Source organism: Homo sapiens, chromosome 1 (assembly GCF_000001405.40).
Source record: "Homo sapiens chromosome 1, GRCh38.p14 Primary Assembly".
NCBI classification, from domain to species: domain Eukaryota; kingdom Metazoa; phylum Chordata; class Mammalia; order Primates; family Hominidae; genus Homo; species Homo sapiens.
Window position 1 is genome coordinate 143,848,892 of NC_000001.11, and position 16,412 is coordinate 143,865,303.

At 39.8% G+C, this 16,412-nt stretch overlaps 1 pseudogene across 1 annotated transcript in view; it reads right to left on the minus strand.

Annotated features, from left to right (window-relative positions):
- The window catches only part of H2BP2 (H2B histone pseudogene 2), a 57,749-nt pseudogene that overhangs the window by 1,990 nt on the left and 39,347 nt on the right, over positions 1 to 16,412 (minus strand). The window lies entirely within an intron of this gene.

Sequence of the window (16,412 nt, forward strand, 5' to 3'; positions counted from 1 at the left end):
TTGCTTTAGTGGCTCTGGGAAGAAAGCACTAACTGGCAGCATAGGTAAGTAAAGTTTTAATCTAGGGAAGAAATAAGAAGCAGAATCAGAATTAGAATTAGAAGAAAGAGGAAATATGCTATACCAGAATATCATAGGCAAAAAAAGAAGATGAAGAAAGAGGAAATGAAAGGACAGAAGGCAATGCTAATGGAGTTAGTTATTTGTGGCTGTTTTTTGTAAAAGAGTAATGATCAGTCTTGTAATCATTATAATACTATTATTTGCTTTCTAAAATGTCTAAAATATTTGAAGGAATATATGATATAAAAAGATGAATAATGCTTGCAGTCAGTGTTTCATTGTTTGGGAGAACCCAGTTTCCTCAGTTAATACATTTTCGTGTAATAGCTGTTTAAGGAGTAACATGGTTTAAAGACATTTTAATGGCTGAAATATTAACATGTTGGTCTTTTGATGAAGTTCAAATAGAGAGATTTCTTTCCCCAATTTTCCCTGGAAAGATTAAACTGAAGAGAAAAATCTGGAAAGTTTGCCCCACCTGTTGGGTCTGGGAGTCATTATGACTTTTTCAACGACAGGAGTTGTGTATGACATGGAATCATGCTTCTTCTCTAGTTGAGAAGCCAAGCTAGGTCCAGGCTGAGTCATAAACTTGAACCCAACAAGGAAATCACCCTTCATATTGACCTTGCAGAGCTTTGGCTCTATCTGTTCTCTGCCCAACACCCAAGACACATACTAGTTCTGGCCAACAAACCTTCACATATTGTCTGTGTCAACCAGAGCTACATTTATTCCCAAATCTCTTTCTAAAATACAAACCTGTACTTTCTACTCTCAACCCCAAAATTTACAAGAGGCCTCATATGCATCTCAGAGTCACAGATGCTAAAACTCAACACACCAGTGAGATCCCTGTCAGCATCATGTACTACCCTCTACCTCAATGATCAGCCCCAAGCCAGCATCTCCCAAAGAGTAGTGTGTTGTCGTGGGTGTTTCAACAGATCACTAAAACCTGCTTCTACCGCTGCCTAGACACCTATCCTCACTGCTATGCATCCTGCTCCTCAAATCAGATCTTGATATCTTCTTTAAACACTCCCAATCTCCCAACATGACAATTCATTTCCAAAGAATTATAGTATTTAAATTTATTGGACTCTATACAGACTCATTCCCACTTTGTTACTACGCTGGTCCATCCATCACCTCCATTAACATAAGTAGATCAAAAACTGGCCTCTCTACAGCCAGTCTTGTCTATTCCAACCCATTTGCCACACTGTGTCCTGAGTGACCTTTCCACAGTGTAAATCTGGACATACCTGTAGCCTTAAATCATATCTACCAACATAGTAGCCAAGCAACAGCAATCTCTTTTCCTTTGGTCATTAGAGTCCTAGAGACCAAGAGGATGTTGGGAAAAGAATTACAATGGATCAGCTCTCAGAGGCAGTGGGTTCTGGACTCGTGCTGGCTTTGATACGTGTACATTGGAAAAGCTCAAGTACCTGGCAATACTTGGAGATTAGGAAGAAAGGATGAAAGTAAACCACTGCACTAAATAACATGACAATAATCACTTATACAAAAATTTTAAAGATAAGGAATATTTAAAGATTTATTAGTTTATTATAGCTTTATAGTTGGAGAGTGGAGAAGAAAATACCAAAGCTTTTTGTCTTAACAAAATGGTGCAGACAGATTAACATATATTGTCACCTATGATAACCAGTCAGCATAAAAAGTATTTAGAAAGGAATGGTTGTATTCTCTAAGAGGGATATTCTGATGTCATGTTTTTTGCTTTAGAGTCTATTAATATAGCCACCTTTTTGTTAATGTTTTCAGTCAAGCTCCTTTTCTCGCCTTTCATTTCCAACCTTTCTCTCACTTTCTGGTTTAGATACAACTCCTAAATATGTCATATAGTTAATTTAAAAATCCAGTGTAGCAGTATTTCGGGGGTTTGTTTTACTGGATAATTTGGTCCACTTACATTTAATGTAATTGTTGATATATATTAATTTTAAATCTACCATCTTTATTTTTTCTGTTTGTTCTGCTTGTTCTGTTTCTATGTCTTTTCTTGTCTGTTTTGGATTGGTTATTTTTAACTATTATAACATTATATTTTTTTACTTTTTTATATGCTTTGCTTCACTTTCTTCCTTATTGTATTTCCTTTAATTGTATTTAAGTTGCTTCTATTCTTTTGTGGTTACTTTAAAAATTACAATCTTAATCTTTAATTTTTTTTTTTTTTTTTTTGAGACAGAGTCTCACTCTGTCTCCAGGCTGGAGTACTGTGCCGCGATCTTGGCTCACAGCAACCTCTGCCTCTCGGGTTCAAGTGATTCTCCTGCCTCAGCCTCCCGAGTAGCTGGGACTACAGGTGCAGCTAATTTTTGTATTTTTTTAGTAGAGACAGGGCTTCACTGTGTTGGCCAGGATGGTCTCCATCTCTTGACCTCATGATCCGCCCACCTTGGCCTCCCAAAGTGTTGGGATTACAGGCGTGAGCCACCGTGCCCAGCTAATCCTTAATTTATTAAACATAGTAGTAATTGATACCGTTATCCTCTTCCTGGACAATATATGGATGTTGGAATACTTTTATTCCATTTAGTCTCATTCTATATATATGCTGTTATCATTTATTAGGTCTAAGTATTAATAGTTTTAAACCCCAGAAGACTAGACATATATTTTATGTAGTTAATGTTAATTTAGATTTATCAACATATGTGCTGCTATCTTGCTCTTTATTTCTGCTATGTCTCTGAATTTCCATATGTAATCATGGTCCTTCTGCTGGAGAAACATCATTTAGAATTTCCTTTTGTGTTGGTCTGCTTGTGAAAAAACTGTTTCAGCTATTTTTCTCTGAAAGTGTCTTTATTTTGCTTTAATTAGTGGAGATTATTTTTACTAAGTATGTAATTCTGGAGGCAGTTATTTTCTTTCAGCATATTGAAGATATTTGCATTTGATTGTTTCTTTCAGAAGGCAGCCAATTGTCTCGCTGCTGCTTATTTGAATGTAATGTTCCTTTTTTTCCTCTGTTTTTTGTCTTTACTATTTTTGTCTTTTTTTTTTTTATTGTCTGCAGTTTTACTATTCTGTCTTTAGGTATGGAGTTCCCTTTATTTATCTTCTTTGATTGGTAGGCCTTCTAGAATCTGTTGACTTTTGAGTTTCATTTTGTCTGGAAAACTCTCAAGTATTATCTCTTCAGTTATTGCCTCTATTTTCTCTCTCTTCTACTTTTGAGCCTCTAACTAAAAATAAAATAGACTTTCTCACTCTATTTGTTATATTTTTGTGTTTGTGTATTAAATATTATTTTTTCTCCTTGTTATATATTCTGAATTTTTTTCTTCTTCCTCATCTGCCATTTTACTAGTTCTCTTTTCAGTTGTGACTGCTCTCCTGTTAAACTCTTCCATTGAGCTCTTAATTTTGTTTTGTTTTGTTTTTTCCGAATTTCTATTTGCCTCTCTCTAAATCTATTCTGTCATTTTTTTGTTGTTTCCAATTGGTGTGTAAATTGTTAACAAAACCCTTTTCTCCTTCTGCATGATAATTTGACCTTAATTAACTTTCTAGCTCTGTCCACCTAGAGCCTTCTAATGACAAAATGTCAACTATGTTACTAAGCAAACATTGCATATCATAAAAAAGACTCCTAACTGATGGACTACACTTGGACTGGGAAAACTAAGTATCTGGAAGAAGCCAGACTTTGAGCTTCTCTGAATGCAGTGACTCCTATAACTTGCATACACCTGGCATGGGCATTGGAAACTACTCTATTAAGTTCTTAACAAGAGATAATGGCTCCAGGATGGTGCCACATGCACCTCAGCTGTCCCCAAGTAGACAATGAGGGGTGGAGAGTCAAGAGACTATCTCCTAGGTACTGTGTGGACTGCTGCTGCAGGGACTGCTCCTATAGAAATATCATGCCTGATGCTGCCCTAATAGCAAGCTATAATTCTTATCCTACATCTCTCGGATTAATCTGGTGCCAAGTATGGCCTCTGAGATTCTTGTGAGCCTGAACGTTAAGTTGAAGCTAAGAAAACATCCAAGTGGGCAAAATTCTTCCAAATTTTTGTTTCATGAATAATGTAGACATCATTGTTTTGCAGTCTTTCTAATATATCTAATATTTGGGGGCTTGATTTCAACTGCCTGACATGTCTGCTGGTTTTCACACCTGGTTTAGTTTCTTTGGGTTCATTATTATTTTTGAGTATGTGCCATATCTTGTATCTGGAAAAATATTTTTGGAATAATCTGAGATCTACAATGAAAGCTTTCTTGCCCAGCACCTGGGGGTACTTCCAGCCCAGAACCACCTTTAATCAAGTAAAAGGTGTGAAAGATGCTCTGAACTTAAACTGTGTAACATAAGGGATGTTTCTTTTATAGTCCATTTTTATCCCAAGATTATAGAAATGTAAGGTTCTACCTTATTGTAGGATTATTCTCCTGATAAACTCCCCAACTTGCGCAGACTCTGGTCTTCTATTTCTGTCCCATTAGTCACAGAAGGCTGTCAAACCCTAATATGCAGGTCAGGAAATGTCCTTAGCCAAAAAATGGTTCCTCTGCTTGCTTACGGCTCTGGGATCCAGTTTTTCCTTTACTTCAGGCCTCGTAATTCTTCAGTGTTAATCATCATCTTGATGCTTTTAAAAATATTTGTTTCCTATATATTACCTAAATAGCTTAGTCAGTGTTACCAGAAATGTATCATCAACTTTTAAAATATACTAAATGCTTAAAAAAATAAAGTCATATTTTACTGCTATGGCTCTGACTTGAAACTAAGTTGATGAGGCCATGAGCTGGAGCACAAATCAGTCCCCCCACTGTGAAACTGTCAGGTCACCACAAATACAGATTTTATTAGCAATGCAGAATTTTTCTTTTCCCTCTTAAGTCATCCAGTGACCAATCGGTTCTAGGCCACAAGATCAAAAACTCCGGTCTCAAAATCTAACAACCCCCAGCTGGTAATCTCACACATGCTCAGATTTTACTTTGTAAAAGAGAATCAAGCCACATCATATAAAATTAAACATTTATTATTTTTCTTAATAGTCTAATAGAGATATACATTTGTGTATATTGGCCGGAAATTGGGCTAAAATTTTCACAAATGGAAATCAAGAATGTTACCATAGAACTATCAATGCCAACTTTAACTATCTGAATCAGATGGCATAGCCTAGTTTCCTCTACAACTGACAGCACACTCTTTGGTATTTTGGTATTTTTCAGTGTCCTTGAAATGTTTAACTACCCACTAAAGAACAGGTCACATGGAATTAATAAACAAAGGGCTTCAGTTTCCATCAAGCACCTTCAAGTGACAGGAACAGGGATTTAAATAAAAGGATCTAAGTCAGCACAGGAAAGTGACTGTGCTGCCAAAGTGACTCAAACTCAAAAGGACAGGATGAGACTTACTCAGAACTTCGAGGAAGTGTAGAGAAATTATCCACCACTTTTTATCCTAGAGGTGCCTTTGTGGTTGTGACCATACCGTAGAATGATTTGGGGATCCTTTCCAACTGGAAGGACATCTTAGACTGAGGGAACCCAAGAAACCTGATTTCGGTCACCCCTGACCATCATAAATCCCACGCAACAGGTCCATGCATTATCTAATGTTGACTCTGGGAATGGTCATTGTCATTGTTTCCTATTTGAATGGTTGTCACATTTCCTGCTTCAAATGATATCCAGAAATGATGGCTTGGGACCATATTCTCAATTTTTAGGTGGCAAATAGACTCCAGAGACATCACACATAATAAAATACTTGGACTTTGAAAGGAAACAGTCAAGTCTATGACTTACAAGCTTATAAAGATCCCTCAGATGAGTTATGTACATGGATTGAGAATCAGAAAAGGAAGGATGCTCTCTCAGGAGATAGAAAAACCAGATAAAAGGAGCAACTGAAATTATCTGACCCATCCCCTCATCGCCTATGTAGAAGGGAAATGCTCACTTTATCTAACCAGTGGATAACAGACAGCCTCTTTCATTTTGGAGCTACCAAAAAGAAAAATAAATTGTGGTTTGGTTCAGTTCCCTTTTGACCAGTATGTTCTTGAAATTTTGAAAACATTTTACTCTTTTTCCTTTTAGTGTTTCAGTGTGGATAATTTCATTTGATCTATTTTCAAGTTCATTTTTTAGGCCAAAATTTGTCAAATATTGGCAATTTCATATGATTCAACTTAATATATTAACCTAATGTGCAAAATTCAAATTTGTTTCTATACTACTAAATAATATCCCCCTGAAACGCTTTGCCAATTTACTCCTACTGACAGTGTATGAAAATATCCATTTTATTTCATCCTTTACAAGGTGCTATTATCAATAATTTATACTTTTACCAATCTGGGAAGTGAAAAAGACATTTAATTGTCTTGACTTGCATCTCCCTTATTACTGGTTAGTTTAAATTTCTATTCTCCGTTCATTTTTCTGTTTATTTTCTTTCGTAGTACCTACTACTTCTTGATATCTTTGTTTAAGCTTTATATATTTACTTTTTACCTGTTAATTGTTGTAATCACCCACTAAAGAGTAAATTCTGGCTGGGCACAGTAGCTCACACCTATAATCCCAGCACTTTGGAAGGCCCAGGTGAATGGATCACTTGAGGCCAGGAGTTTGAGACCAGCCTGGCCAACATGGTGAAACCCCATCTCTACTACAAATAAAAAAATTAGCCGGGCATGGTGATGCACACCTGTGATCCCAGCTACGCAGGAGACTGAGACACAATAATCGCTTGAACCAGGGAGGCAGAGGTTGCAATAAGCCGAGATCACACCACTGCACTCCAACCTGGGCGAGGAAAAAGAAAAAGAATCAGTTCCATCAGAGCATGGATTAAGTCTCATTCACCACTCTAGTGCCTAGAACATTTTATGTACTCAACATATAATAGTTAAATGAATGAATGAAAGTTAGACTGTAGGGGTGTCCATGAAAGTAGATATTAGCTAAGTTCCCAGAGATTGACTCCTCTTTTCCTGGTTCTCACACTTCAAGCTCTGTTAAGCCTGGAGGAGGGTGTTTTGTCTTTAAAAAGATACAGCTCCAGGTTACCCCTTTGGACCAGTTCCTGTTCTTAGGTCTCAGACTTCCTCTATTCATGAATGGTGGATATATATGATTTCCTGTGATGTTTCTTTACATTATGACCATAATGAGCGTTGATTTTTAGTTCCTGATCCCCTCATGTAATGACTGTTCAATTAATGACTTTTTGCCATAATGGCTATTATAAAGCTATGTCACTTTTTGGACAACTCCTTTTTTATTATAATGATTTGTCACCCCAAAATAAATAAACATGCTATAAGAAATTATATTTTGACATCATGGTTTCAAGCAGACACTATATAGAAGGATGTGGCCGGGCACGGTGGCTCACGCCTGTAATCCCAGCACTTTGGGAGGCCGAGGTGGGTGGATCATAAGTTCAGAAGATCGAGACCATCCTGGCTAACAAGGTGAAACCCCGTCTCTACTAAAAATACAAAAAATTAGCCGGGCACGGTGGCGGGCGCCTGTAGTCCCAGCTACTGGGGAGGCTGAGGCAGGAGAATGGCGTGAACCCGGGAAGCGGAGCTTGCAGTGAGCCGAGATTGTGCCACTGCAGTCCGCAGTCCGGCCTGGGCGACAGAGCGAGACTCCGTCTCAAAAAAAAAAAAAAGAAGGATGTGTATGAATGAGCAAGTAGGGAAGTGGCCAAAGAGGGGCCCACCCTCTGTAATCTGCTTTTTGATGCTAAGGTGAGGACTCTGCAAACCACATCTTTTTTTTGCTTGCTGGCTTTATTAGTTTCTGTCAGTAAGGGGTGTTAAAAAGAGACTGAAAGGCTGGAGGAGGGATATAGGTCTGGCTGCTTCCTATTTTGTTTCTTGTTTCAATTAGCATCATCCCAGCCATAATTTTTTACTCTGAGAGTGGTCATTGTTTCCAGTTTCATTTCTTTTCTTTTCTTACAATCCCGGAGCCTCGTGGCCCCCTCTCAAAGGCATGAGCATCAGCCAGTGGACACCTCTTCTTCAGAGGTCTGAGTCCCTGCTACACTAGGTACTTCCTCTGAGTTCCAAGGCCAGCAGCAACCTCCTTCTCAGAAGCCATCCTCCCAGTTATGTGTGGCCCTTCATCCAAGTTACCAAGTTCTAACAACCCAACCATTTTACCTTTGTTTCTACAACCCTAGGGTTGATCACTGCTTCGCTTTCTACACTAACTATCTCTGTGTTACATCAGTTCCCCTTTTGCCTTCTTAGACCTCCAATACCTGTATAATTCCTTGTGTTAAATTCCCTCTGGTATACTGTTCATTTTCTATTTTTTTTTTTTTTTTTTTTTGAGACAGGGTCTTGCTCTGTTACCCAGACTCAAGTGCTGTGGTGCAATCATAGCTCACTGAAGCCTTAAACTCCTGGGCTCAAGTGAGTGTGCCACCATGCCCAGCTAATTTTTATTTTTTTTAGACACAGTGTCACTCTTTTTCCCAGGCTAATCTTAAACTACTAGATTCAAGTGATTCTCCCATTTTGGCATCTCAAAGTGTTGAGATTACAGGTGTGAGCCACCATGCCCAGCCCATTTTCCTTTTAGACCCTGAATGACACACAGTACTACTCACCAATTTACCTGACATGACCATTTGTAGTCAGAGAATATTGTGTGAAACAACTTTGAATTGCATGACTGTATTAGTCTGTTCTCACACTGCTAATAAAGACATACCTGAGACTAGGTAATTTAAAAAGAAAGGAGACTTGATTAACTCACAGTTCAGCATGGCTGGGGAGCCCTCAGGAAACTTACAATCATGACAGAAGGAGATGCAAACACATCCCTCTTCACATGGCAGCAGCAAGGAGAAATGCAGAGCAAAAGCGGGGAAAAGTCCCTTATAAAACCATCAGATCTCGTGAGAACTCACTATCATGAGAACAGCATGGGGGAAACCACCCCCACAATTCAATTACCTCCCACTGGGTCCCTCTCATTATGTGGGGATTATTATGGGAACTACAATTCAAAATGTGATTTGGGTGGGGACACAGCAAAACCATATCATTCTGCCCTGGCCCCTCCCAAATCTCATGTCCTCACATTTTAAAACACAATCATACCTTCCAAAAGTCCCGCAAAATTTTAACTCATCCCATAATTAGCTCAAAAGTCCAAGTCCAAAATCTCATCCAAAGGCAAGTCCCTTCTGTCTATGAGCCTGTAAAATCAAAAGCAAGTTAGTTACTTCCTTGATACAATGAGAGTACAGGCATTGGGTAAATACAGCCACTGCAAATGGGAGAAATTGGCCAAAACAAAGGAGCTACAGGCCCCAGGCAAGTCCAAAATTCAATAGGGCAGTAATTAAATCCTTAAGCTCCAAAATAATATCCTTTGACTCCATGTCTCAAATCCAGATCACACTGATGCAAGAGGTGGGCTCCCATGATGTTGGGCAGCTCTGACCCTGTGACTTTGCAGGGTACAGCCCTCTTCCTGGCAGCTTTCACAGCTGGCATTGAGTGTCTGAGTCTTTTCCAGGTGCATGGTGCAAGCTGTCAGTGGTTTTACTAGCCTGGGGTCTAGAGGATGGTGGCCCTCTTCTCACAGCTTTACTAGGAAGTGTCCCAGTGGGGACTCTGTGTCGGGGCTCCAACCCCACATATCCCTTCTGCACTGCCCTAGCAGAGGTTCTCCATGAGGGCTCTGCCCTTGCAGCACACCTCTGCCTGGGCATCCAGGCATTTCCACACATCCCCTGAAATCTAGGTTCCCAAACCTCAGTTCTTGTCCTCTGCACACCTGCAGGACCAACACCATGTGAAAGCTGCCAAGGCTTGGGGCTCGCACCCGCTGAAGTCATGACTCAAGGTGTACCTTGGCCCCTTGTAGCCATGGTTGGAGTGGCTGGGACACAGTGCACCAAGTTCCTAGGCTGTACACAGCAGGGAGGTCTCTGACATGCCCTGAAGACCTTTTCCCCACTGTCTTGGCGATTAACATTTGGTTCCTCATTACTTATGCAAATTTCTGCAGCCAGCTTGAATTTCTCCCTAGAAAACAGGTTTTTCTTTTCTACCACATAGGCTGCAAATTTTCCAAATTTTTATGCTCTGTCACCTCTTGAACGCTTTGCTGCTTAGAAATTTCGTCTACCAGATACTCTAAATCATCTCTCTCAAGTTCAGAATTCCACAGATCTCTAGAGCAGGGGGTAAAATGCTGCCAGTCTCTTTGCTAAAGCATAACAAGAGACCTTTCCTCTAGTTCCCAACTAGTTACCATTTCCATCTGAGACCACCTCAGCCTGGACTTTATTGTCCATATCACTATCAGCATTTTGGTCAAAGCCATTCAACAAGTCTCTAGGAAGTTCCAAACGTTCCCACATCTTCCTGTCTTCTTCTGAGCCCTCCAAACTGTTTCAACCTCTGCCTGTTACCCAGTTCCAAAGTTGCTTCTACATTTTCAAGTATCTTTACAGCAGTGCCCCACTACCCAGTACCAATTTACTGTATTAGTCCATTCTCACACTGCTAATAAAGACATACCTGAGACCGGGTAATTTATAAAGGAAAGAGGTTTAATTGACTCACAGTTCTGCATGGCCAGGGATACCCCAGGAAACTTACAATCGCGGTGGAATGGGAAGCAAACGTGTCCTTCTTCACATGGCAGCAGCAAGAAGTACAGAGCGAAGTGGGGGAAAAGCCCCTTATAAAACCATCAGATCTCGTGAGAATCATTCACTATCATGAGAACAGCATGAAGGTAACTGGCCCCATGATTCACCTACCTCCCACTGGGTCCCTCCCATGACATGTGGGGATAATGGGAGCTACAGTTGAAGATGAGATTTGGGTGAGGACACAGCCAAACCAAATCAATGACATATTTAGATGAACCCAAAATACTGTTTTTCATACACATGCCAAGCAAAGTGAATGAGAGGGTTGCATCTTCTATGACTCTTCAATCTGCTGTACATGTTCACCATTTCAATATTCTATAAAGCCTTTTTGTGTTTAGCTTTTATTTGGTCAAAGCCTTAAGGTAAAGGAAATTATTAATCACATTAAATTTGATATTGAATGCTGGTCTGGCACTGAATCTTCACTGACTTTGAAAGAATAATCCCCTCCCAGTCCTCCTCTATTGACCATCACCTATAACCAAGTCTCCTCTTCCTCCTTTGATGAATACAATAAAAATTCATATGTGAAAACTGTATTTATTTTATTTTTATCTATTATTTACATAAATTTAGTTTGTTTAATCTATATGTTTTCTATCTTTTGGGTATCTTGGGTTAATTTTTCTGTTTAGAATAACAAAAACTTTTTATTCACTTCACATATTTTCACTTAGTTGTAAGATTTTCAAACATAAAGTCATTAAGCAAATGTTTGTGTACAAGACACACAGATACAGAAACTGCCAGGAGAGACTCTGATAACTTCCATACTTCTAATTTTGCATATAAGCTGTCTTCAGGATACACAAAGACTGAGGGAAGAGAAGATGCTAAATGTAAATAATATACATTTATTTATGTATTCATTATCAAGCATATGTTATCTGAATGTCTTTATAAAGCAATATACAAATAGAATAGGAACGTGATATATTTACTTCCCCAGTTGTGGTGTAAGCATCCTCTAAAAATGCTTACACCACAATTGGGGAAGTAAATATATCATGTATATAACGAATAGACTATAAAAAAGAACACATGGGGCAGGTACGACGGCTCATACCTGCAATCCAGAACTTTGGGAGGCCAAGGCAGATGGATCACTTGAGGTCAGGAGTTTGAGACTAGCCTGGCCAATGTGGTGAAACCCCATCTCTATTAAAAATATAAAAATTAGCCGAGCGTGGTGGCACAGGCCTGTAATCCCAGCTACTTGGGAGGCTGAGGTGGAGGATCCCCTGAACCTGGGAGGTGGAGGTTGCTGTGAACTGAGATCACACCACTGCCCTCCAGTCTGGGTGACAGAGTGAGACTCCATCTCAAAAAAAAAAGAAATGAAAAAGCAGGAACACATGATAGGGTAGTCTGAGCTCTGTACAAATAGGAACAGTAACATAGACAAGGAGTAATTAGAGTAGGCTGAAAAAAAAATCGAAAGATCTTCTTGAAAAAGATCCTGAAGAAATTTATGAAACTGAGTTGACTAAGGGAATAAGGAAGCACGTGAGTAAATACAGCAACATTACCTAAATTCCCTTTCCAACATCTCTCTGTCATCTTCTCCCACCTCTCCTAACCAACCCACAGGGATTTAAAAATATTATTGAATTTTTATCTAAATGTGATGGAGGATGGACAGGAAGAGAATTACTGATTACTCTCAGTCAGGATTCATCCTAGCAGCAATTATTTGTAATTTAACTGAAATAAGTCCATTTGACTGAACAGACAGCTTGGAAATCACTAAAATGAGAAAGGAGATGTTTTAGAGAGTATGACTTCTATAAGTGAATGAAAGAGAAATCACCCTTAAACTCACTGGTTTGGGGAAGTGAAGTTCCCACAAATGTGACACACAGGAAATTGCCTTTCCACATGTGAGTTTTCTGAACTGAACCAACTGCCATCGATTTGCACTAGTAAGACAGTATTCCTAACCAAAGCAGGGAAAACAATGATGTGATCCCAAGAAGTCCTTGCACTCCCAGACTTCTAGTCTCATCTGTTTAATTTGACATTGTAGGGACCAAGAAAAAGCTTCCCCTTCTATCCTCTGAAAGTTTGCTGAAAATGGACTATAGACAAATTAATAGGAGAAAAAGCCATACAAAATGTATTTAACATGTATAGCTCAGGGGAATTAAAGGAGGATGGTTACCCAACAACCCAGTAAGGTCCAAATGGTTATACGCCCTTCCTCATAGAGAAAGGGGAGATGAAGGGTGTAGCAGTAAATGGTTTTCAGGGGGAATGAGTGAACCCAAAGAACAGTGATCTGGGACAAAGTTCCTCTGAGCTCTGGGGTCAGTGGCCAGAAGGTGAAGGACAGAACTTTACTGTGAACAAAGGTTGTTTTATTATTCAGATAAAGCCTCTCAGGTACTCTCTCTGAGCTGCCCTTGGAGGAATACATGAAAAGTCTGTCAGGGCAAGGTGAGGACTCCTAGTTTCTTCTCTTGTGGTTAATCTTTCCTGGTTATTTCATGAGATTCCTAGGGAGGGAGTTTTAAGACAATTGCATTTCTATTTTATTTTATTTTATTTTATTTTATTTTATTTTATTTTATTTTATTATTTTATTTTATTTTATTTTATTTTTTGAGATGGAGTCTTGCTCTGTCACCCAGGCTGGAGTGCAGTGGCACAATCTCAACTCACTGCAACCTCTGCCTCCCGTGTTTAAGCAATTCTCCTGCCTCAGCCTCCTGAGTAGCTGGGACTATAGGTGCATGCCACCACACTCAGCTAATTTTTTGTATTTCTAATAGAGATGAGGTTTTGTCATGTTGGCCAGGCTGGTCTTGAACTCCTGGCCTCAAGTGATCCTCCTGCCTCAGCCTCCCAAAGTGCTAGGATTACAGGCGTTAGCCACCGTGCCCAGCAATTCTTTTGGAAAGAATCTTTCTTAGTCAGCTGAGGAAATTCCATAGAGAGTCCCTGCTAGTGCTTCAGGAAAGTAAGAGGATGGGGGTGAGGTGTAGGTAAGGGTGAGGAGAGGTCAGAGAGAGATACCTTGAGGCTGCTTCTTTAGTTCAGCATGTCAAAGTGCCATATTTTGGGGTATTGTTTTCTGAGCCCCAGCAGCATCAAAGGTCATAGTTCCTGAAACTGCAGAGACAGCACTGAAGACTTCCATGTAGGAAACAGGATGTCTCTAAAGTGCAAAGAGCCAGGACTTGGATCTAGAAGTGAGTAGTAGAATGGGAAAGAATCTAGTCGTAACTTAGAAACCACCTCAGTCCTTCCTGGGTTAGCATTTGTCATCGTTTACTTAGGCTGCTGCTGAAGGGATTTGATTCAAGCCTCTGTGACTCAGCAGTGGGCACAAGCATTGCTATCCCCCTTTTTTCTAGGAAAATTGTTCAAAAGAAAACCTTGACACGAACTACGCATTAACCCTATATTACAACATCTTCATAGAGTCAGGTGAGAAGAAGGGAGGCCAGAGGATCCAGTCTTGAATGCTAACGGTATCTTAAACAGGGTCTTTATTGAGTTCTACCTTAGTATGGTAAATTATAGTTGTAAGGAGAATGGTCTCCCCTTTGTCCCTTTTGACTACAAGAAGCCGGTGCTCACCCTCTGAAAAGTCAGAAGATGTACAACATCTGCTACTCCTACCAAATGCTAAGCCACTATGAGGATATGATGCTTTATTTTTATTTATTTATTTATTTAGAGACAGAGTCTCACTCTGTCACCCAGGCTGGAATGCAGTGGTGCAATCATGGCTCACTGCAGCCTCAAACTCCTGGGCACAAGTGATCCTCCTGCCTCAGCCTCCCAAGTAGCTGGGATTATAGGCATGAGCCACCAGGCTCAGCAATGCTTATGTTTTTTTGTGCGTGTGTGAGACAGAGTCACCCAGGCTGAAGTGTAGTGGCACAATCTCAGCTCACTGCAACCTCTGCCTCCCGGGTTCAAGCAATTCTCCTGCCTCAGCCTCCCAAGTAGCTGGGACTACAGGCACAAAACACCACGCCCAGCTAATTTTTGTATTTTTTTAGTAGAGACGGGATTTCACCATATTGGCTGGTCTTGAACTTCTGACCTCGTGATCCACCTGCCTTGGCCTCCCAAAGTGCTGGGATTACAGGCGTAAGCCACCGTGCCCAGCCAACAATGCTTTATTTCTTGACTCTCTTTCTACACCCCTACTGCAAAAGACTAATTTTCCCCAAAGAGGACCTGATTTTGACTGAATTTTAGCCTCTTCCTCTTCCACATGATAAAGCTGCTAATTGCCTGAGAGAAGACTGCTGAGTTACAGTGTAGAGGGAAGCATACTCAGGGACAATTAGCAACAATTCTGTTTCTGTTAAACCTTATAATTCTTATATCACTACTGCACAGAACTAGACATGGAGCTAGTTTATGTCTCACTGTACCATTTACTAATTTTTTGACCCTGATGAAGTAACTTAACCTCTTGTAGCTTTATCTCATGTACAAAATTGAGACAACAGTAAGATGTTCTCATCTAAGTAAAATGTTGAAATGTTGGAGTGTTCCAGGCTTGTTTAGATAGATGGAAAACACACACACACTCATTCACTCTCTCTCTCTGTTACTCTGTCTTTCCAATACGTCTTGTTTTCACTTCTTAAGAATCAGCCTAGAGGTGACTGGAGGAAGAGAAACTAAGTTGTGGTGACAAAGAACAAGACTATGAGTAAGGATCACTATTACCCTTACAGACTGGATAAAACCCTAAGAAACAAAATCATTGTGCAAAACCTTTCAGGCCAGGCACAGCTGCTCATACTTGTAATCCCAGCACTTTGGGAGGCCAAGGTGGGAGGATCACTTGAGCCCAAGAATTCAATGCCAGCCTGGGCAACATAAGAAGACCTTGACTCTACAAAAAATATAAAAATTACCCAAGCCTGGTAGTGCATGCCTGTAGTCCCAGCCACTCAGGAGGTGGGACGATCGCTTGAGCACGGGAGGTCAAGCCTGCAGCGAGCCATGATCATGCCACTGCACTCCAGCCTGAGAGACAAAGCAAGACCCTGTCTCAAAAAATTTTTTTTTCAAGGAATAGAACCACTGCACATGCTCCTCCTGATCCCCCAAAGTGTAAGATTTTCCTGCAAATAGCTATCTCCCAGGACTTACATTAGTAAGGTATCTGGATATAAAAATCAGTGTTCCCTAAATCAGCTGTGTTTCCATTATATCAAAAATAAACTTTTAGAAATTACCATTTGAATTAACAAAGATACACACACACACACACGCACACACCTAGAAAGAAATCCCGTAAGATTTGTGCAGGGCATTTATGAAGAAAACTGTGCAATTTATGGGAAGTTATTAAGAAAGACCACATAATTTAATAGACACATTAAGTTTATGGTTTAGAAGACTCAATGTCATTAAGTACAAATTTTCTTCAAATTTGTTTACATATTCAATGTAAATCATCTAAATCCCAACAAATACTAAGAAAGCTGACAACTTGATTCAATGTGTACATTAATGAGCAAAAATCCAAGAATAACTATGAAAATCCTGAGATGATTAAGGAGATGTGCACTACCATATATAAGGATGTATTATAAAGCTATAATATTAAGACAATGTGGTATTGAGACAAAGATAAGCAAATTGCTGGTCAAATAGCCTAAGCTCT